The sequence below is a fragment of the Homo sapiens genome, chromosome 22, assembly GCF_000001405.40.
Source record: "Homo sapiens chromosome 22, GRCh38.p14 Primary Assembly".
Classification (NCBI taxonomy): Eukaryota; Metazoa; Chordata; class Mammalia; order Primates; family Hominidae; genus Homo; species Homo sapiens.
The window spans coordinates 22,546,628-22,567,017 of record NC_000022.11 but is presented as its reverse complement, the minus strand read 5'-3'; the positions used below and the strand labels follow the sequence as shown (position 1 = coordinate 22,567,017).

Sequence of the window (20,390 nt, the reverse complement as noted above, 5' to 3'; positions counted from 1 at the left end):
TAATGTGATGGTATTTGGAGGTAGGGCCTCTGGGAGGTGATTAGGTCATGAGACCGAAAGTTTTGAGAACCGCTGATCTAGGAAAGATATTTACCAAAAAAGAAAGAAGAGGAGAGGCAAGAGAAGGAAGAGGAAGAGGAGGCCATCCTAGCTCCCCCAGTATCTCACACTAGTAATGGTCAGTATGCAGCAACGACCGCTTTCTCTACTCATTCGCAGTTGGTTCTCTTAGATTTAACAGCTAAATCAACCATAAGTGCAACTATTCATTTCTGTCTCTTCCATTGTAAAACTGTCTTTTATTTCTTTTTACTGTCTTATTTTTGAATTTGCTGGAATAATTTTTGATATCAGCATGCAGTGTGCTGTCCACTGCAAATAGACAAAGAGTGTAGAGAAACACAAGACATAAGTATCATCATTGAAGTATATTTTTAATAGCATAGGCCAGACCAAGCAGAGACCATGGGTCCAGGCAGGGAGTGAGGAGAAATGGGGGTGGTGGGTTTTCCCAAGGGGCCTCTCCACAGTGGAGACCAAGAGACACTACTCCATCCCTTGGCTCTAAACCTAGATCTGCACACCCATCTAATAGCATCTGAACTGTCATCAGCTCTGCCATTTCATTATTGTGCTTTACGCTTGGAAAATCTGCTTTCTAGAACACCACTAAAAATCAATGAATAAAATGACAGAGTGTCTTAAAAAGTAAAGGATGTCTTCTTAACTTCTGAATAGAAGGCACAAGTCTTCTCTGTATAATTAGAATCTCCTCCCCTAGTCCTGACTGCACACAATTACTGAGGATGTACCCTATGGTGACCCCAAATGAGTCATACCCTTGCACAATCTCTTCACTTGAATTCAAGAAGAACCTGTGATTTGCTTCTAACCAATAAATATGGCAAAGGTGATGGAATATCTCTCTTTTCATTAGGTTACATTAAATGGCAAAAGAGCTATGGGTGACCTCTAGGAACTCTAGGAGCTTCGGGCACTGACAGCAAATAGCCCCCCAAAACCTTGGCTTCAGTCATATAGCAGCAAGGAAGTGAGTTCTGCCAGTAAGTTTGGAAACAGAATCTTCCTCAGTTGAGCCTCCAGATGAAAACACAGCCAAGCCAATGCCCTGATTTCAGGTTGGGAAGACCCTGAACAGATGACTCAGCTAAGCTGATCCCAGACTCCTGATCCAGGAAAACTGGGAGATCATAAATGGGTGTTATTTTAAGGTGCTAGGTTTGCAGAAATTTGTTACACAGCAAGAGAAAACTAGAACCTGGATCATCTCAGTCACTTTGGTCAGATCCAGGTGGAGACAAGGTAAGGAGAGAGACCTCGATCATTGAGTACAGGAATACCTGGGCTCACACTGATGCACATCTTCAAATGAGGTGGCCCCTGAGTTGTCTCAGTGCAATAAGAAGCTGTTGTTCTTCCTCCAACCTTGCCACTGAAGAGGGAGACCAAGTCTGCATTCAGAGGCCATTCACTGCACAGAGGGAGGAGGGAGCTTTTATTTTCATTTTTGCAAAGCCAAGTCCCCTGGGAGATGGTTTCTCTTTCCCACATCATTATAAAGAGCAATGAGAGTTGCATAGGGTCCCATTCCTGAAGCGTCCACCCCCTTGGGATGATGAGCAGAAATGAAAGCAAACACCACCATCTGACTGCCTGACTGGTGTGAAGCCCTGTGACACTGGTCACTCATGGCAGATTTGGTCTCTGTTCCCCGTGGACTTGGAGCACATGTGGGTAAAAATGCTATGGTTGTCCCAGAACAAACAGTGACTGTCAGGCCCATCTTCAGGCTAGAGGCCAAAGACGGCCAGGAAGGCCGTGTTGCCAGACCTAGAGACTGAAAATCAAGCTGGGACCCCCTAAGGGTTGAGAATGGACATAATAAATGAGGAGTGTGGGGCCAGTTCCTGGGCACTGTAGGTACGAAGAGATATGGTTAGAACCCTCAATGTCACTGCTGCTTCCAGTGCAGAAGATGGTGACTGTTTACCCCAAGTCCCAGACACTGAGGAAGGCTGAGTCAAGGCTGAGCCCAGGCCCCTGAGAAGAGAAAGAAATGCAGAGGGGGATTAACTCAGAGCATGACCCCAGGTAAACTCTACTGGTTCTCTCCACCTGGAGAGAGGAAGAGTCAACCCAGGTGCCCAGGTGCTCTTCCTTGAGGACTCTTGCCTGTGCCGTGAGGGAGAATGGTTTCAAGCAGCAGAAGTCAGACCATGGTGGAGATGCCCCAGAGCTGCCTTCTGAGACCCCAGCACTGGGACAGGACACTTAAGGCTCTGTTAGCCCTTTCCATGTCCTGAGATGCAAGAGGATCCTCCCTGAAAATCTGCCTCCTGAGCACTGACAATTCTTAGCTCTTCCGTTGCTCCAAGCCCTGGAGGCCTATACCCAGGGGAGTGTGCAGATGCTCTGGCCCAAGCTGGAAGCGTGTGAAGCGCATAAATCCTCTTCCAAAGTTGCTTTGAGGCTGGATTGGCAGAACAGAGATGCCAAGCACAATCCATCAGTGAGCACCTGGATTTCTAGTGTGTTCACTGACCCAAACACCTCATCTTCCCTTCCTCTCACATACCTGGGGAGGATCCTCCTGCCCTCTGTACACCCAGGAGGCCTGAATCTGGGGTGGAATCATGCTGCTCCCTACCTGAAGGCTCCTGCCTTTCCCTCTGAGCTCATTCACAGCTAGCCCCAAAAGAATTTTTTTTTAAGACAGAGTCTCACTCTGTTGCCCAGACTGGAGTGCAGTGGTGCAATCTTGGCTCACTGCAATCTCTGCCTCCCAGGTTCAAGCGATTCTCTTGCCTCAGCCTCCCGGGTAGCTGGGACTACAGGTGTGCACCACCATGCCAGGCTAAGTTTTGTATTTTTAGTAGAGATGGGGTTTCACTATGTTGCCCAGGCTGGTCTCGAACTTCTGACCTCAGGTGATCTGCCTGCCTCAGCCTCCCAAAGTGCTGAAATTACAGGCATGAGCCACCGCGCCTGGCCTCCAAAAGAATTTTCCAAAATGGTGATTCTCCCATTAAGACAAACGGTCATGGGAACGTAGGCAAGCCACTCTGAATTCTCTCCAAGACCTTCCACTGTGGCCTGTTGCGCATCTGCAGAATCCTGCAGCAGATTGGGAATCAGGGGCCATTTCAAACACGTGTTATTAAGTCAGGAGCCCAGTATGCACTAAGTGTCGTGGGAGCACAGCCAGCCAGTGTGACCCCACGCTGGGGGCAAGGAGCCTTGCACCAGGACTACACAGCCTGAGTTCCTTCTTGACTTGACCACTTTGTCTTGGACCTGTGGTTTGCCTTTTCTTACTGTCAGTGTCTTCACCTAAAAAAACACGAAAACAGCAGTAAAGTTCACAAACTCCTTGCATTCACCTGCTTAGAAAATCGAAAGGCAAATTGTTTCCATTAATCAGCGAGGTCTCTATGATTTTTATTCCCAGAATGGTTAGGTTGAGAGTGCTGGTCCCTTCAACTCCAGGTTTATTTTAGGTGGTCATAGAAAAATACATACTTTTCTCTCTCAGTTCTCTATCTCATCCGTGCAAAGGTTAGTCCCGACTCAGCCTCTCTCACTTCCAGGAGCAGAGCAGAACAGACTGTCAAATGCGTCCCCGTCCCTTGCTTCCCTCATTGCAGTCTTAAAGTATCTCTTGTCATCACTCTAATTCAGCACAGGTTGACTCTCACTTTCCAAAATGAAGATACCTCTATTTTCATTGCCGATCAAGGAAAAAAAAATCATATGTTTATGAACTGAGTGTTTGCGTCCCCCCACCACAAATTCATATGTTGAAGCCCTAATCCCCATTGTGGCTGTATATGGAGATGGGGCCTCTAAGGAAGTAATTAAGATTAAGTGAAGTCACAAGGGTCGGGTTCTCATAACTTTCAGCATCCTTATAAGAAGAAGCACCCATGCTCTCTCTCCACACATGCGCACAAAGGGGTCACGTGAGCACAACGCAAAATGGCCTCAGCCTATAAGCTAAGAGAAGATGCCTCAGAATGACACCCACCTTGCTGACACCTTGATCTTGGACTTCCCAGCCTCCAGAACTGTGAGAAATAAATTTTTGTTGTTTAATCCATCCAGTCTGTGATATTTTGTTATGGCAGCTGAAGCAGTCTAATAAATGATAAAAAAAAAAAGTTCAAGAGAATACAGAAAAGTATTTTATAACAAACAGTGTTATCATTTTAGTGACCATTTTCTGTACATGTTAGCCCACTTATCTAAGACATTCACAAATATGAATTACTGATATCCCAGGAACCTTGTAACTCCTACTCCCCATTTCAGGCCTAGCAGAGCCCCAGGAATATGGCATCCGATTGTAAAGAACTCGAAGCAATGAATGAGTGACTGTTATGGTCATACACAATTTTACATGAATAGAATTACATTAGACAATCATTCACGTGATCTGCATTTTTTTTTCAAATATTGCAGACAGACATCATCAGTCATAAAAAAGAAGGGAATCTTGCCATTTGCAACAATACGAATGAACCTGGAGGAAATTATGTTAAGTGAAATAAGCCAGATGCAGAAAGACAAATACTGTACGAGCTAATAATATGTGGAATCTAAAAAGTGGAACTCTTTTGACATGGTTTGGTAATATAACAAATACAAAAAAAATTAAAGGAAAGGGAAAAAAGAAACACAAAAAGTGGAACTCATAGAGGCAGAGTAGAATGGTAGTTCCCAGGGGCTGTGGGTGGGAGGAATGAGAGATGTTGGTCAAAGGCTACAAAATTTTAGTTATAAGATGGTAAATCCTGAGACTCTAATATACAGCATAGTAACTATAGTTAATAATGCTATATTATTAATTGAAATTTGCTAACAGAGCACACACACATTGACTGCTGGGGTGAAAGATGTGTTAACTAATTTGATTAATCATCAAACAAGGTATATGTGGATCAATGTATATGAATTGTACACCTTGAATCCATACAATTTTTATTTGTCAATTATACCTCAAGAAACCTGGAAAAAAATCAAACATTACAGACATCTTATTGTATTTTCTGTGTCTTATCCAAAAAAAGCACCCGGAGCTCAGCAAAGCACTTGATGTTTGCCCTCACACTGTTCCTCTCCCATTCCAGTTGTCGACCAAAAGGAACCATCAGACAAAAAACACCTCCAAATTTGTTGAATTTATTCAGGAATTAGAATACAAAATTATACGCTGGGCATGGTGGCTCATGCCTGTAATCCCAGCACTTTGGGAAGTCGAGTTGGGAGCAACACTTGAGGCCTGGAGTTCAAGCCCAGCCTGGGAAACACAGTGAGACTCTCTCTACCAAAAAAAAAAAATTTTTAATAAAGTAAATACATAAATTAGCTGGGCATGGTGGTGCATGCCTGTTGTCTTAGCTACTCAGGAGGCTGAGGTGGGAGGACTGCTTGAGCCCGAGAGTTGGAGGCAGTGGTGAACTACGATTATGCACTACACTCCAGCCTGGGTGACAAAGCAAGACCCTGTCTCAAAAAATAAATAAATATAAAAATAAATATAAATTTACAAAAAAAAATTAAAAAAGAGAAAAAGCATTATAACCTAAGATGCTCAGCTATGGCAAGCCATATATGCATCTCAAGAGGGGAGGGCAAAGGGAAGGTTGTATTGGCAAAAAAAGAGATTTAAATAAGCTGCTTGCAAACAGTTCACCGGTTATGAAGACTCAAAACCACAGTTGGCATCAGTTCATTGGTGGAGACGCTGTGCCTAGGCAGGTGTTCTTTCAAAAGCATCTTATCTAAATTGTTGTGATTCCAAAACAGGAATGTCTTGCAGGGCTATTTCGAAAAGTCCCGAGACAGCCAACCCTTTTTAAAAATATAGATGGGGTCTTGCTATATCACTCAGGCTAGTCTTCAATTCCTGGCCTCAGGGGATCCTCCAACCTTGGCCTCCCAAAGTGCTGGGATTACAGGGGTGAGCCACCACACCCAGCTTCCTGAGACAGCTTTTATCTCAGCCATGTAAGCATGAGCCCTTCCCTTTCATACCCTCAGGGTTTTACTTTGGGTCAACAAATAGTGAGTTTATTTTGGTATGTGCAACTTTCAAACACCCATCGCCATAAAAGAAAGGACCAGCCTTGGCCAGGCACAGTGGCTGATGCCTGCAATCCCAGCACTTTGGGAGGCCGAGGTGGGCGGATCATGAGGTCAGGAGATCAAGACCATCCTGGCTAACACGGTGAAACCCTGTCTCTATTAAAAACAAAAAAATTAGCCAGGCATGGTAGCGGGCACCTGTAGTCCCAGCTACTTGGGAGGCTGAGGCGAGAGAATGGCATGAACCCGGGAGGCGGAGCTTGCAGTGAGCCGAGATCGCGCCACTGCACTCCAGCCTGGGCAAGAGCGAGACTCCGTCTCAAAAAAAAAAATAAATAAATAAAGGACCAGCCTCGACTGACAGTCGGCACTCCGCAGGCATCCTCCACAATCCTCTCTCCTCTCTGCCTCTTGCCCTACAACCTGGCCATGCCATGATTCCTCCCTACCTGTCCTCCTCTGTGGACTTCATGACCACGCTCTGTCCTATGAGGCTGGACCAGGGTCATGTTCACTCACTTCTCTCCCCTCCCTGCCATTTGTTCCACTCCCCAACTTGTTCTCCACGCATCGATCTCAATGGAGCAACAGCAATCAGATGATGAAAATAAATAATGGTGGCCAGTCTTCAAATGGATCCCCTTTTCAATCCCGCACTATCCATCTGCTGCCTTCTCATCAGCCCTCTGCCCCAGTTTCTTTCCCTTCTCAAACTGGACAAGCACCGTACTCCGTGAAGATGTGTGCAGCCTGTTCCCATGCCCTGAACACCATCCCTTCAAGCTCCTCTGGCTGCTCCCTGCTCAGGTCTCAGAAAAGGAGAGCTGGGCAACCCTCCCAGGGAGCCGCCCGCCTGTGTAACTTTCAGTACCAGCCTGTTTGCTTTCTTGAGATAATTAGCTACAACGGCCACTTTAAAACAATGGTCTTCTTATTTTGTTTTTTGTTTTCACCCTAAACTTTATAAAGTCAGAAATCGTAAGTCCTTGAGCATCCACAGCCACTCAAGGACGAACCTTTGCTGAATGCCTCAAGCAGAGAGGGGGAGGCTGAGTCTCTGTTTCGAAGGTGAAAACACAACGGTTTTTATCAGCCCTGTTTTATGCGACAATCCCAGGTCGAATCTGGATCAATGCAATGACTTCCTTTGCATGGACCTATGTTTTGTTCGTGCATTCATCTGTGCAGCTGGGAACCCGCAGCTCTGTTCACTGGCATGGGGATGCCTCGGGGAATGGCAGGGCAGAGCCACAAAAAGCCAGCCTCACCACGCGGCCTGTTGCTCTTAGCCACCATGCCCATCATAGCCTGTGGCAGGAGATGTTGGGGTCCCCCCCCCCGACCCCTTTCAGGAAAACAGAGTTTGTGGAGGCGGAGTACTTCCCAGGCCTGACTGATAAAACAATTCAAAAGACTCAAAGAGATTCCTCGCCTGTCCCGTCCCTTGAAGGGCCTTGAACACGGGGTCCTTCCGCTTGGCTCCTAGCCCGTCCCTCTCCCCTTACCAGGAAAGGATCCTCCCCATCTCTGCAGAAGCCTGACCATCCCCCTAGAGGGCCTGGGAGGAAGTGGGTTTTGCATACAGTCCCTGTTGACTCTAGTGCCCCCTGCTGGCCCCAGACGCGAGTTCCGGCGAGGCTTCAGGGTACAGCTCCCCCGCAGCCAGAAGCCGGGCCTGCAGCGCCTCAGCACCGCTCCGGGACACCCCACCCGCTTCCCAGGCGTGACCTGTCAACAGGTCTGTATTGGCGACAAAAGGAGCAGCCCTGAATGTAGGGAAAGCAGGGCGGAGTCCTCTGCAGGCTCGGGGGAGGGGAGGGGCGTGAATGCGTGGATTTCTGTGGAGAGTGGAAACACGGGGAGTCGAGGGGAGCATGCGCGGGCCTCAGAAAGTTCTGGGAAACCGACTCCCGGGAGCAGGGAGGAACGCGCGCTCCAGAGAGTAAGTTAATTGAATCCCGGGGGGTGGTCTCTTCAGCCCGGGGGGTTACAGAAGTAGGTAAATCCAGAGATTACCCAGCCAAGGCCAGGGGCATCTTTTCTAGACTTGCGGGGCGGGGTGGGGCGAGAACTTGAGCTCAGGGGACCCTGGAACCGGCCCCTGCACCCCGCATCCCACTGAAGAAAAGGGAGGTCGCCAGAAGCACAGACCCAGGACAGAGTCCAGACTTGGACGTCTCCGTGATCCCAGAACACCCCGTCCCACACTCCCAGTCAGCCCCCCGCCTCCCCACTGCCTCTCCATTCGCCCACCGCACCCCCTTTTTCCACCCTGCCCCCACCCTACTGTCTGGTGGGAAAGGCCGCAGCCATCACGTATTCACCCATCCCCACCCCTCACCCCCCACCTTCTGACTTTCTTTCCACATCCCCACCCCCTCCCCCACTCTCTGCCTCTTTTCCCTCCCCCTCCCCAACCCTTTGTTTTTCTTACACATCCCCACCCCTCCCCCAACCTCTGTCTTCTCTCATCCCCACCCCCACCCTGTTTCCCTTCCCCCATTCCCGCCCTGGCCCGCCTTCTGTCTCCCTTCCCCCATCCCCACCCCTCCCCCCCTTCTGTCTCCCTTCCCCCATCCCCACCCCTCCCCCGCCTTGTCTACCTTCCGCCATCCTCACCCCTCCCCCACCCTGTCTCCCTTCCCCCACCCCACCCCTCCCCCACCCTCTGTCTCCGTTCCTAATCCCCACGCCTCCACCACTCTTTGTTTCCCTTCCCCCATCCCGACCCCCCACCCCACCCTGTGTTCCTTCCTCCATCCCCCCCCACTGTCTTTCTTCTCGGTTCCCCACCCTGTCTCCCTTCCCGCATGCCCACCCCTCCCCCACCCTGTCTCCCTTCCCCCATGCCCACCCCTCCCCCACCCTGTCTCCCTTTCCCCATGCCCACCCCTCCCCCACCCTGTCTTCCTTCCCCCATGCCCACCCCTCCCCCACCCTGTCTTCCTTCCCCCATTCCTAACCCTCCTCCCGCCCCCCCTTCCCCACCCCCATCTCCCCTCCTTCCCCACCCCCATCTCCTCCCCACCCCCAGCCTCCTCTGCTCTCCAACTTCCTCTCCCCTTTTCCCCTCCTCCTGCTCCCTTCTCCTCTGCTCCTCCCCCCACTGCCCCTCCCCCACTGCCCCTCCTCCTCCCAGTCTTTGAAAACAAGCCCCTCTCGACTCTCTGGGCGACCTCACTGGATCTCGTGAGATTTTGCCCTGGAAGGACTGAGAAACGGGGATTGGTCAGACCAGGCTGCCCAGCCCCCCGGTCCCCACCGCCGCCCCCCCCGCCCCACGCAGCGGCTAGGGCGCTTAGCTGAGCCATTGTCTCGTTCTTTCCTTCCAGCAACTTCGCGGTGTGGTGAACTCTCTGAGGAAAAACGTAAGTTCGAGCCCTGATTCCTCCGCTTCCCCGCAGGGTGACCTTGGGCTTGTGCCCCCAGCACCACCCCTGTCCCGGGTCCCTGTTTTCTCTCTGGAAATGGGTTGAAGACCAAAGAAAATAATGTGCGCCACTTGGGTCACCCCGGGCCGCCTGCCCCGGAAAATTGGCCCCAGTTGAGGAGTTGTGGCTGTAAGGATGCCTTGAACCGAGGCGGCGGTGCTCGTGGTTGGAGCTCTCCAGGGTGGGTGCGCATTTGTAATGCGGTGGATGCTCTGGGACTCGGCCCCTCTGAAGGTGCTGGGGGTTGGGGACGGCCCAGGCAGTGGCGTAGGCGTCCTAGGAAGGCGGGAGCAGAGGCAGAAATGTCGCTGCAAGACCGTAGTCAGGGTCCTTGACCACAGGGGTCACTTGTGACCAACCACATGGTCTGTTGTTCCTCCTGCCCCCTGGTTCAGCCCAGGAAACACTGGTGCTCAGGTTTGGAGCCAGAGATTTGCACTGAAAGGGCGGGATTGAGTCGCCAGTTGTCAGTTTCCTCAGCAGTATTTGCGGAGGTTTTCACAGGAGGCCGTTGCTTCGTAAATATTATACATGTATTCTTCTTTTTGGAGCATTTTGATTATTACTCTCAGACGTGCGTGGCAACAAGTGACTGAGACCTAGAAATCCAAGCGTTGGAGGTCCTGAGGCCAGCCTAAGTCGCTTCAAAATGGAACGAAGGCGTTTGTGGGTAAGAAGGTCCCCTGAGCTGTCTGAGGTGCTCAGAGAAGCCCTGTTCCCCTCTGTCCTTGTCACTCGAGCCAGATGGGAGCTGCATCCTGAGGTCCCTCACAGTAGACGAAGAGGCAGGAGCCGCTTTTATTGTTTCTGGTCATTTCCACAAAAGAGCATTTCACTTCCCGTGCTGTCTTTGTATGAGAGTCAACCCTAGGGTCGGGCACGGTGGCTCATGCCTGTAATCCCAGCACTTTGGGAGGCTGAGGCGGGCGGATCACCAGGTCAGGAGATTGAGACCATTCCTGGCTAACACTGTGAAACCCCGCGTCTACTAAAAGTACAGAAAGTTAGCCGGGCGTGGTGGCATGCACCTGTAGTCCCAGCTACTCAAGTGGCTGAGGCAGGAGAATCGCTTGAACCCAGGAGGCGAAGGTTGCAGTAAGCCAAGATCATGCCACTGCACTCCAGCCTGGCGACAGAGCGAGACTCCGTCTCCAAAAATAAAAATTAACCCTAGGCCAGGCATGGTGGCTCATGCATGTAATCCCAATCCCAGTACCATGGGAGGCCGAGGTGGGCAGATCACCTGAGGTCAGGAGTTCGAGACTAGCCTGGCCAAAATGGTGAAATCCTGTCTTTACTAAAAATAGAAAAAAAATTAGCTGGGCGTGGTGGCCCACATCTGTAGTCCCAGCTACTTGGGAGGCTGAGACAGGAGCAGGAGAATCGCTTGAACCCAGGAGGTGGAGGTTGCAGTGAGCCAAGATGGTGCCAGTGCACTCTAGCCTGGGCAACAAGAGTGAAACTCCTCCTCCAAAAAAAAAAAAAAAATCTTAATGCATTGTGGACCTTATTGCCAAAGCCACGATTACATTCAGAACCTTTCCCCGGGGTAATCAGACGCAAAAGCCCACACTTCCAGTGGTGTCAGAGAGTATGAGCTCCAGGAGGCTTTGATCTCACTGCCCCATGGGCTTGGGCCATTAGGGGTAAGTGTCGGTCCTGGGAAGTGAGCAACAAGATTGCACTGCCTCATCCTTGGGTGCCACCTGGGGAGATCAGGGAGAACATGCAACCTGGGTTGAAGCCGGGAGACTTGTGCTGGAACTAAAGGCTCAAGGACGGCACAGTGCGTTGGACTGTGGGACCGTGCTCGGGTGCTGTTGGTATCCACAAGCCTGTAATCCCAGCACTTTGGGAGGCTGAAATGGGTGGATCACTTGAGCCCAGGAGTTCAAGACCAGTCTGGGAAACATAGTAAGACCCTGTCTCTAAAAAAGAAAAAGAGGCTGGGCATGGTGGCTCACTCTTGTAATCTCAACACTTTGGGAGGCCTAGACAGGCAGATCACTTGAGGTCAGGAGTTTGAGACCAGCCTGGCCAACATGGTGAAACCCCATCTCTACTAAAAATACAAAAATATAGCCGTGTGTGGGGGCGTGTGCTTGTAATCCTAGCTACTTGGGAGGCTGAGGCAGGAGAATCGTTTGAACCCAGGAGGCAGAGGTTGCAGTGAGCCAAGATTGCGCCACTGCACTCCAAAAAAAACACCTGAAGGACCTGGTGCAGATACTTCGGGGGTCCCCACTGGGATTCTATGACTAGAGAGGAGGGTGCAGACCACCCACCTGATGAGCTCAGAGGCCACTCTGGCCTGTGCAGCCCACAAGGACCATAAGAACCAGTAGACAGGACATGCAGAAATATCTCCCCAATTCATGTCTGGACCCTAGGAGTCATGCTGGGCCCCAGTCTTTTCACTTCTCCCTTATACTGGGAGGAAGGACAGCACCTTTGTGCAAATGTGCCCCTGGTGCTGCTTCCTCCAGTGCCACTGGACAAACTGGCAGTGTGAAGCTGGACAGAGGAGTGTCACTGCCTCACAGGGAGATTGCACAGCTCAGAGATTACACAACTCACACTTGATCGCGGTTCCTCCTCCTCCCTTGGATCTCCTGGAAGCGGGGATCCCATGGAAGCTTCCCTAACTGTTGGACTTACTCAGTTTTCCTGTTTTTCCATGGTTTATGTGAAGCTTATCAGCCCTTTCTAACACTTAGATTGTTTGATAGGGAGGGAAATGAAACTCTTTCTAAACTCCTCACATAAGGGCTACCAATTCCTGCTTGCTTGGAGCTGAGCAGGTTCTTCCCCAGACAGAGTCAGGGACTTACAAGACTAAAAATGAAAATGACAGTGAACTTTAGATTCTCTGTGAAGGCTATTTGAGGTAATGAATGAGAGCTGCTGCGGCCTTTGCTGTGCCCAGTAGCTGCTTGATAATTAGGGACATTGACAATGACCTTTATTACTAATCTCAGTCTCCCGCAGCTGATGAGTGAAGATGATTGCCTGGGAATTAAAGGAAATGTAGAACAAATTGTAGTTTAACCCGGTTTTCACAAAGGCCATTAGGTGTTGAGGGTGAAAAGTAGGAGAAAGTCTCCAGAGAGAGAACCAAAATGGAAAACATCCTTCAACGAATTACAGCCTCCTTACGCAGGCCACAGTAAACAAAGTCAGGCCGCAAGACATTCCAGCTGGACACTTGCCAGTAGAATATAAGAATTGTAGGGACTTCACAGTGCATGAGGCAGAGAATGGCCTGGAGAATTCTTTGGGTGGAGAGGTTCCAAAACTTCAAAAGCACCAGTGGGTGATCAGGCCCAGGATAGGAATCATCCCTAAGCAGATCCTTAAATGCCAAATATAACTTCAATTTTTTGTGACGGAAAATGTATTTGTGCACTGTGCCTAGCATGGAAATAGAGAAAAACTGAGTCTAATTGATAGGCCTGATTGCATCTCGCTGACCAGAATCTCTGTACCTGAGCAGCTTAGGGGCAAGAAAGAACAGCTGTTTTCTTGAAGTGTGGAAACATTAGTAATACTTAGGAAGGGGCTGGCCATTGGAGATTATGTTTGTGGTAAAGGCCTGACCTGCTGCTTGTGAACAGCCCCAGTGTGGAAGAGGACACCTAACCATAAAGAGAAGGTCTTCTGACAACTTCTTTAATTGCAGGGATGTGTGCTTTCAGCCCTTGTTTATTTCTTTCCTGGCTCCAAGATTCCTAAGAAACCACAAGGTCTTTCAGACTTGAAAATGTTGCTGTCCTAGGTTTGGTCACCAATATTACTCTCTATCCCACCTCTCCAGCCCACATTCCTAGATTTAATCTTGTCAAGGCTGTTTGCCAAGAGGATCCTGACTTTCTGGGAGAAAACACCCTTTCCCTCTAGGGAGGGAGGAAGATTGAACTCCCTCCCTGCCTCAGTGATTACCTTGGCTTTACTGGAACTATCTTTCATCTTCCTTAGCCATTCCCCTTTTTAATTTCTCTACTCCATCCAGGCCAAAGTCTTTCAATTCCGCCCCCAAAAAAACCTATCTGTCTTTGTGGTAATCCACTCAGTCCCATTACAAATGCCCAGCCTTACTTCTGACTAACTCCTAATTGTAGTGTAATTTTGACCCACCTTCCTTCAGGACAGCCTTGACTTTCAAAGTCTGGAAGACCAGCCACCCCTCTGTTGTTCCTCCCTTTTTCCTTGGATAGGCATGTGATTTGCTGTGTTAGGGAACATGGGGTATAAGTGACAATTTGATACTTGGGGATTGTTTGGGAGTGGGAAGGGGTGATGTCATGATGCTCTTCATAAAGCTATCTTAACTGGACTATTTGGGTAATTTTGATGTGGCCAAAAATTCCCCTAACAGTTATACTCTCTGGGTGGTTTTGTTCACTTTTTCTTTCCTTTTTGTAAATAGACATCCCATTCAATCAGTTGAACCTGAAGTAAGTAAAAAACCCCATCAGGATTCACTGGCTGGAGATCCAGGAATGTAATTAGATTTGGCTCTTCCGTTGGCAGCGTGGAGTTGAAAGGGGAGGTATGCCCAGAAAGGCCTGTAATAGCTTCAGAGGGGCCAGAGGAGGGACCCAGAGGCCATGGAGTCAATGTTGTGGTCTTCCCAGAGGTCTGGGCAGATGGCTTCTGCACCACAGCTGGGTCTGGTGAGTCGGGAGCCTCAGGCTATGGCCACTGCCTCCTTCTACTGTCACCTCAGGGTCTCCACGGGCCATGAGGGCCAATGCTGCTTAGATGGTTTTCCTTTTTCTTTCCTTACAAAGGAACAGGCTTTGTTCTTGTCTCTAAATGTAGTTTTGCCTTAATCCCAAACATTTTTATTTGGTTATTGGATTGATTTCTTAATTGATACACAATAATTGTACATATTTATAGGGTACATGTGAAATTTCAGTTTATGCATATATAGTATGTAATGATCAAATTATGGTAATTAGTATAACCATTACCTGGAACATTTATTATTTATATTGAATCCCAAACATTTTGATTTCTGCCATTTTGTATATGTTAAAAATAATTTCTTAAACGGCTTTTTTTTTTTTTTTTGGAAAATAAAAGACATCTACTTTGAATTTTACTTTATTACAATTTAAATAGTATGTGGCAAGCAATTATAATTTGCATCATTTATGATTTTTTAAATCAGTGATTTACTAGTTAGGCTTTTTTTTAACTACAAGGTTAAAAAATATTCCATTTTAACTACAAGGTTAAAAAATATTCCATTTTAACTAAAAGGTTAAAAAATATTCCATAGATTTTTTTCTTTTTCTTTTCAGATGCTTTGGAATTAAAGACATTTTCTTTCTTTTTTTTCTTTTTTTTTTTTTTAATAGAGATGAGGTCTCCTTGTGTTGCCCAGGCTGGTCTTGAACTCCTGGGCTCAAACCATTCTCCCACCCTGGCCTCCCAAAATGCTGGGATTACAGACATGAGCCACTGTGCTGGAGGGTGGAGGCTTTTTCAAGATATCTAGTATACAAGATGGTAACTGTAGTTAATAATGTATTGTATACATGAAAATTGCTAAGAGTATATTTCAAGTGTTCTCACCACACATATGTGAGATCATATGTATGTTAATTAGCTTAAGGTACCTATTCTACAATGTATACATATTTCAGAGCATCATATTGTACACCATAAATATACACAATTTTTATTTCTCCATTTTAAAACTAATGTTTTGGGAGAAAAGAACCAGGCTTTGTTTTACTGTGAAGTGTTTGCTCCGCTGATTTCCATGTCAAAGTAGTAACTCTTAATATACGTAAAAGAGACGCACTTAAAATACATGTCTCAGAATGTTTTTTTTTTATTGTACTTCCAATTGCTATGTAATACTGTTGTGCTGCTTCTGTAGTTTCTCATTTAAAATTTTTTAGTGAAACATAATGGCATCCATTGTGCATTGTGTGTGTGTTCCTCATCTTTCCCATCTGGCTTATTTGTTGGAGCAGAGAAGGATGCTGTCCTGGGCTATGTGACACTCCCATTTGAATTGCCTTTGAGTGATCATCAGAAACTTTTTCCCAAAATGAGCAGGGTCAGCCCTCAGGCTCCTTAGTTCTCACTTCCCAGGGGGACTAGAATTAAATAGAGTAGTGGGTAGATACAAGATGGTGCCAGTGGCCGTCCTGTCCCCTCCTCTACACTTGATGAGATGTTCATCCTGGTGCCAGCAGAGCTGTGGCTTTGTGGCCACCGAGTGCAGAGTGGAATCGGGGTAAACTGAGAACTCCCCTGCTGTTGCTAGCACAGTGACTTTGGCCCTAAGTTGGTCCCTCAGAAGGGTGAGGAAAAGATAGAGTTGCTTATGCTTGGGCTGAAAGGGATGCCTTGTTCCCTGTATGTTTCCTCAGGGTTCCATTCAGAGCCGATACATCAGCATGAGTGTGTGGACAAGCCCACGGAGACTTGTGGAGCTGGCAGGGCAGAGCCTGCTGAAGGATGAGGCCCTGGCCATTGCCGCCCTGGAGTTGCTGCCCAGGGAGCTCTTCCCGCCACTCTTCATGGCAGCCTTTGACGGGAGACACAGCCAGACCCTGAAGGCAATGGTGCAGGCCTGGCCCTTCACCTGCCTCCCTCTGGGAGTGCTGATGAAGGGACAACATCTTCACCTGGAGACCTTCAAAGCTGTGCTTGATGGACTTGATGTGCTCCTTGCCCAGGAGGTTCGCCCCAGGTAAGGGTGACCTAGCAGCTTGGTGTGGGGCCCTGGGAACCTGAGCAGGATGCAGCTGGGGTCAGGGAGCATGGAGCGCCTAAGGCTGGGCCAGAGGCTCTGATGGTTGCCAGCAAGGAAGTTCAGGGAGGCCTTGGGGCTACTGCAGGGGTCACTCTTGGAATGGGCTTCTGGACATGGGGCACTGATTAAAATGCAGAGGTGTCTGAAGGAACATGCACCTGCTTCCTCCTGGTGGGGTGGGAATTGGGGACCAGGAAGGATCCCAGGATCCTAGTGGGAAAGGGAGCAGCTGATGCCTGAAGTACGAAGTAAAAGTGCAGATCTAAGGTGGATGTCTGTTTGGTTCTTACCTACATTATGAGACTCATGGTCTTATTTTGAGTTGATCTTAAAGCATCATCTCAGCTAATTACCTGTTTTTCCCCACAGGAGGTGGAAACTTCAAGTGCTGGATTTACGGAAGAACTCTCATCAGGACTTCTGGACTGTATGGTCTGGAAACAGGGCCAGTCTGTACTCATTTCCAGAGCCAGAAGCAGCTCAGCCCATGACAAAGAAGCGAAAAGTAGATGGTTTGAGCACAGAGGCAGAGCAGCCCTTCATTCCAGTAGAGGTGCTCGTAGACCTGTTCCTCAAGGAAGGTGCCTGTGATGAATTGTTCTCCTACCTCATTGAGAAAGTGAAGCGAAAGAAAAATGTACTACGCCTGTGCTGTAAGAAGCTGAAGATTTTTGCAATGCCCATGCAGGATATCAAGATGATCCTGAAAATGGTGCAGCTGGACTCTATTGAAGATTTGGAAGTGACTTGTACCTGGAAGCTACCCACCTTGGCGAAATTTTCTCCTTACCTGGGCCAGATGATTAATCTGCGTAGACTCCTCCTCTCCCACATCCATGCATCTTCCTACATTTCCCCGGAGAAGGAAGAGCAGTATATCGCCCAGTTCACCTCTCAGTTCCTCAGTCTGCAGTGCCTGCAGGCTCTCTATGTGGACTCTTTATTTTTCCTTAGAGGCCGCCTGGATCAGTTGCTCAGGTGAGGGATGGTGAGATTTCTCTGCAGACCAGAGCAAGCCCTTCCTTATTGCAGTAAACAATAAAGGATATCTTGTATGTGCCAGCCACCAATAATGCAAGAGTGAGCAAGTCACTACCAGTTAACACGTCTTGTTCACCACTGTCCCCAAGCATGGTATCACATAACTACTACTCATAAGGGTTAGAGGTATACATTAGGATAGATGCTATTAACAGTGACTCCTTGTTAGAAAACTCTGTAATGGGAGGTTGGGGCCTGGCAAGGGTGGCTTTAGGCATTCTTCCTTAGGAAGTGATGCCTAAGATGATCAAAAGTAAGCAAGGAGGGCATTGAAGAAGGGAAAGCCCATCAAAGGTGAGATTTGAAATTGTAAGCTGTGCGCTCACCAGCTTCTCAACATGAGCTGCTCCCTCTAAACCTGCCTCAAATTTCCTGTCTGTAAAGGGTGATTTAGAATTCCAGTTAGGGTAATAGGTGGGAAATGCAGGATTCTGGAGATGTGGGAGAAGGAACAACAGAGAAATTGCAAAAATTGATAGGTGGTTTGCTGATGATACAGTGACCTAAGGTAGCCCTGCAGCCTGGGAACCCCCTTTGGATGTTGCTGACCTTGCCCCAGTTTGTCCACTGTGAATACTCCCTAGTAGCTTCATCAGGCACAGAGATAGAGGTGACTGGGGCCCAGGCAGTGGCAGAAGGAAGCCCGAGTTGAAAGAAAGTATTTTCAGTTGTATCTTCAAATACTAAAATTCACTGATGCCTTTCCTTGCTTGAGACATCAAATCAGGCTCTCAATTCAATTCATGCTCACACCACCTAAGAGGTCTGTGTTGGACCCTGCCTCACAGATGAGCCAAGGGAGTGTTTGAGATCTTTGTTTACTTGACCCACTTACACAGCAAATGATGGAGAAAGGACTAAACCTGAACTTGTACTCCTTGAATGCTCCGTTACAGCATGGCATCCTGGCGGTTAACCATCATCAGGAAGACTTTGGGTTTTGGTGAAATGGGCCTCTCTCCAGTCTCCCCACCCCACTACCACCATTCCCCAGCACTAACTGCTTTGTCTATTTGCAGGCACGTGATGAACCCCTTGGAAACCCTCTCAATAACTAACTGCCGGCTTTCGGAAGGGGATGTGATGCATCTGTCCCAGAGTCCCAGCGTCAGTCAGCTAAGTGTCCTGAGTCTAAGTGGGGTCATGCTGACCGATGTAAGTCCCGAGCCCCTCCAAGCTCTGCTGGAGAGAGCCTCTGCCACCCTCCAGGACCTGGTCTTTGATGAGTGTGGGATCACGGATGATCAGCTCCTTGCCCTCCTGCCTTCCCTGAGCCACTGCTCCCAGCTTACGACCTTAAGCTTCTACGGGAATTCCATCTCCATATCTGCCCTGCAGAGTCTCCTGCAGCACCTCATCGGGCTGAGCAATCTGACCCACGTGCTGTATCCTGTCCCCCTGGAGAGTTATGAGGACATCCATGGTACCCTCCACCTGGAGAGGCTTGCCTATCTGCATGCCAGGCTCAGGGAGTTGCTGTGTGAGTTGGGGCGGCCCAGCATGGTCTGGCTTAGTGCCAACCCCTGTCCTCACTGTGGGGACAGAACCTTCTATGACCCGGAGCCCATCCTGTGCCCCTGTTTCATGCCTAATTAGCTGGGTGCACATATCAAATGCTTCATTCTGCATACTTGGACACTAAAGCCAGGATGTGCATGCATCTTGAAGCAACAAAGCAGCCACAGTTTCAGACAAATGTTCAGTGTGAGTGAGGAAAACATGTTCAGTGAGGAAAAAACATTCAGACAAATGTTCAGTGAGGAAAAAAAGGGGAAGTTGGGGGTAGGCAGATGTTGACTTGAGGAGTTAATGTGATCTTTGGGGAGATACATCTTATAGAGTTAGAAATAGAATCTGAATTTCTAAAGGGAGATTCTGGCTTGGGAAGTACATGTAGGAGTTAATCCCTGTGTAGACTGTTGTAAAGAAACTGTTGAAAATAAAGAGAAGCAATGTGAAGCACCTGGTGTCTTGTAGTATATGAACCTGCTTTCCCAGTTAAACCTCAGGAAATCTCTAGTTGCTGATTAAATAAGACACTGCTCATCCATGGTACTTACACCTTTAGGCTGGACAAGGTCCCAGCCCCCAGATCTCATGACACCATTCATCTCTTTGGGGCATCTGTTACCTCCTTGCTTATTTCTTTGGTGTTCAAAGGGTCAGAGCATGCAAGGTACATTCTCAGGGCCTGGAACATACTAAGGAAGGGGCCGGTAATGAACACCACTGAGTGAAGGGTTCCTCACAGGAGCCCTCACTACTAAACCCTTGAGACCCTGGACTCAGTCCTCCCTGTTTTCCAGTGGACTCATAAGCCTCCATCCCTGGCCTGTGGCTGTGCCAGTATTGGGCTTGACTGCACAAGTCAGACCTCCCGTACTGGAAGGGGATGTCCAGTACTGCACTTGAAGTGGAGCGTCTGGGCCTCACCAACCTGTCCCACCAGGTCCAACCCCTTTCTGAATTTGTGACCCATTAAAAACATCTTAATTCCTTTTGGCAAAACACTAAGATCATATTTACTTAGTATTTGTACCCACATTAAAAATAGGATGACATCTTGGGTCCTATCAGTGAGAAAATTACTTCTGTGACATAAGAGTCCCCCCATCAATGAGGTGGTAAACTGAATCTCAGCCAGTGAGATGCCTTGGATTTGGGGTCCCAAGAGTGAACAAACTCATGGCAAGTGCTAGGGAGCACTTCAGGGGAAGTAGATGAATGAATGTCAGATTTGGGAGTTGGGGGTAGGTGGAGGCCACCTTATAGAACAATCTATCCAAAAGGATGAGAGATGTCATACTGTGCAGGTGAACTCTGCAATCCCTGGGCAGTCAGCCTACTTAGCTGCCACCGCTCCTATGCTAGTGTGTCCTGCCCTTAGTCTGCCTCATCTCCCTCACTGTACAGCTTCCCAAAGAAGCACCTGGGAAGAAGGTCACACACCAAGGCCCAGGGGCGGGCTCTATCTGCACGTAGCCGTGAGTGCCAGCACACCCAGTCCTGCCTGTTCTGAGGCCTCTGTCCTGGTG

The 20,390-nt window shown here is 48.5% G+C and overlaps 1 protein-coding gene, 1 long non-coding RNA gene and 1 further gene across 13 annotated transcripts, besides 4 other annotated features; 1 reads left to right on the top strand and 2 right to left on the bottom strand.

Annotated features, from left to right (window-relative positions):
* The window catches only part of IGL (immunoglobulin lambda locus), an 896,838-nt gene that overhangs the window by 355,896 nt on the left and 520,552 nt on the right, over positions 1-20,390 (bottom strand).
* On the bottom strand, positions 419-7,675 carry LL22NC03-63E9.3 (uncharacterized LOC648691). The gene is made up of 3 exons (NR_027426.2): positions 7,611-7,675; positions 4,046-4,155; positions 419-3,351 (listed from the first exon to the last, which is right to left on the bottom strand). It is a non-coding gene; the product is annotated as an uncharacterized LOC648691 (long non-coding RNA).
* Positions 7,542-7,836: an enhancer, noted in NCBI's record as "tiled region #1631; HepG2 Activating DNase unmatched - State 4:PromP, and K562 Activating DNase unmatched - State 1:Tss". NCBI's record gives its function as "activates a minimal TATA promoter and a strong SV40 promoter by Sharpr-MPRA in HepG2 and K562 cells {active_cell/tissue: HepG2 | K562}" and the evidence as "EXISTENCE:reporter gene assay evidence [ECO:0000049][PMID:27701403]".
* Positions 7,542-7,856: a biological region, named in NCBI's record as "IGL region enhancer-blocking element 22-2".
* Positions 7,559-7,856: an enhancer blocking element, noted in NCBI's record as "candidate insulator 22-2; strong CTCF association in K562 cells". NCBI's record gives its function as "blocks activity of the beta-globin HS2 enhancer when located between the enhancer and the Agamma-globin gene promoter in a lentiviral reporter assay in K562 erythroleukemia cells {active_cell/tissue: K562}" and the evidence as "EXISTENCE:reporter gene assay evidence [ECO:0000049][PMID:24098520]".
* On the top strand, positions 7,753-19,317 carry PRAME (PRAME nuclear receptor transcriptional regulator). Of its 12 annotated transcripts, none has more exons than NM_206954.3 (6): positions 7,753-7,843; positions 9,438-9,473; positions 10,109-10,206; positions 15,929-16,251; positions 16,684-17,292; positions 18,375-19,317. In NM_206954.3, exons 3-6 carry the CDS (start codon positions 10,186-10,188, stop codon positions 18,949-18,951), a joined length of 1,530 nt encoding a protein of 509 aa, NP_996837.1. In that variant the 5' UTR covers positions 7,753-7,843; positions 9,438-9,473; positions 10,109-10,185; the 3' UTR covers positions 18,952-19,317. The 12 variants fall into 12 exon arrangements, with proteins under 12 accessions (NP_996837.1, NP_006106.1, NP_996839.1 ...); NM_006115.5 differs by having other exon boundaries at positions 10,088-10,206; NM_206956.3 differs by having other exon boundaries at positions 7,753-8,047.
* Positions 12,657-12,854: a silencer, noted in NCBI's record as "fragment chr22:22896585-22896782 (GRCh37/hg19 assembly coordinates)". NCBI's record gives its function as "represses an EF-1alpha promoter that drives an FKBP-Casp9 reporter gene in an ReSE screen in K562 erythroleukemia cells {active_cell/tissue: K562}" and the evidence as "EXISTENCE:reporter gene assay evidence [ECO:0000049][PMID:32094911]".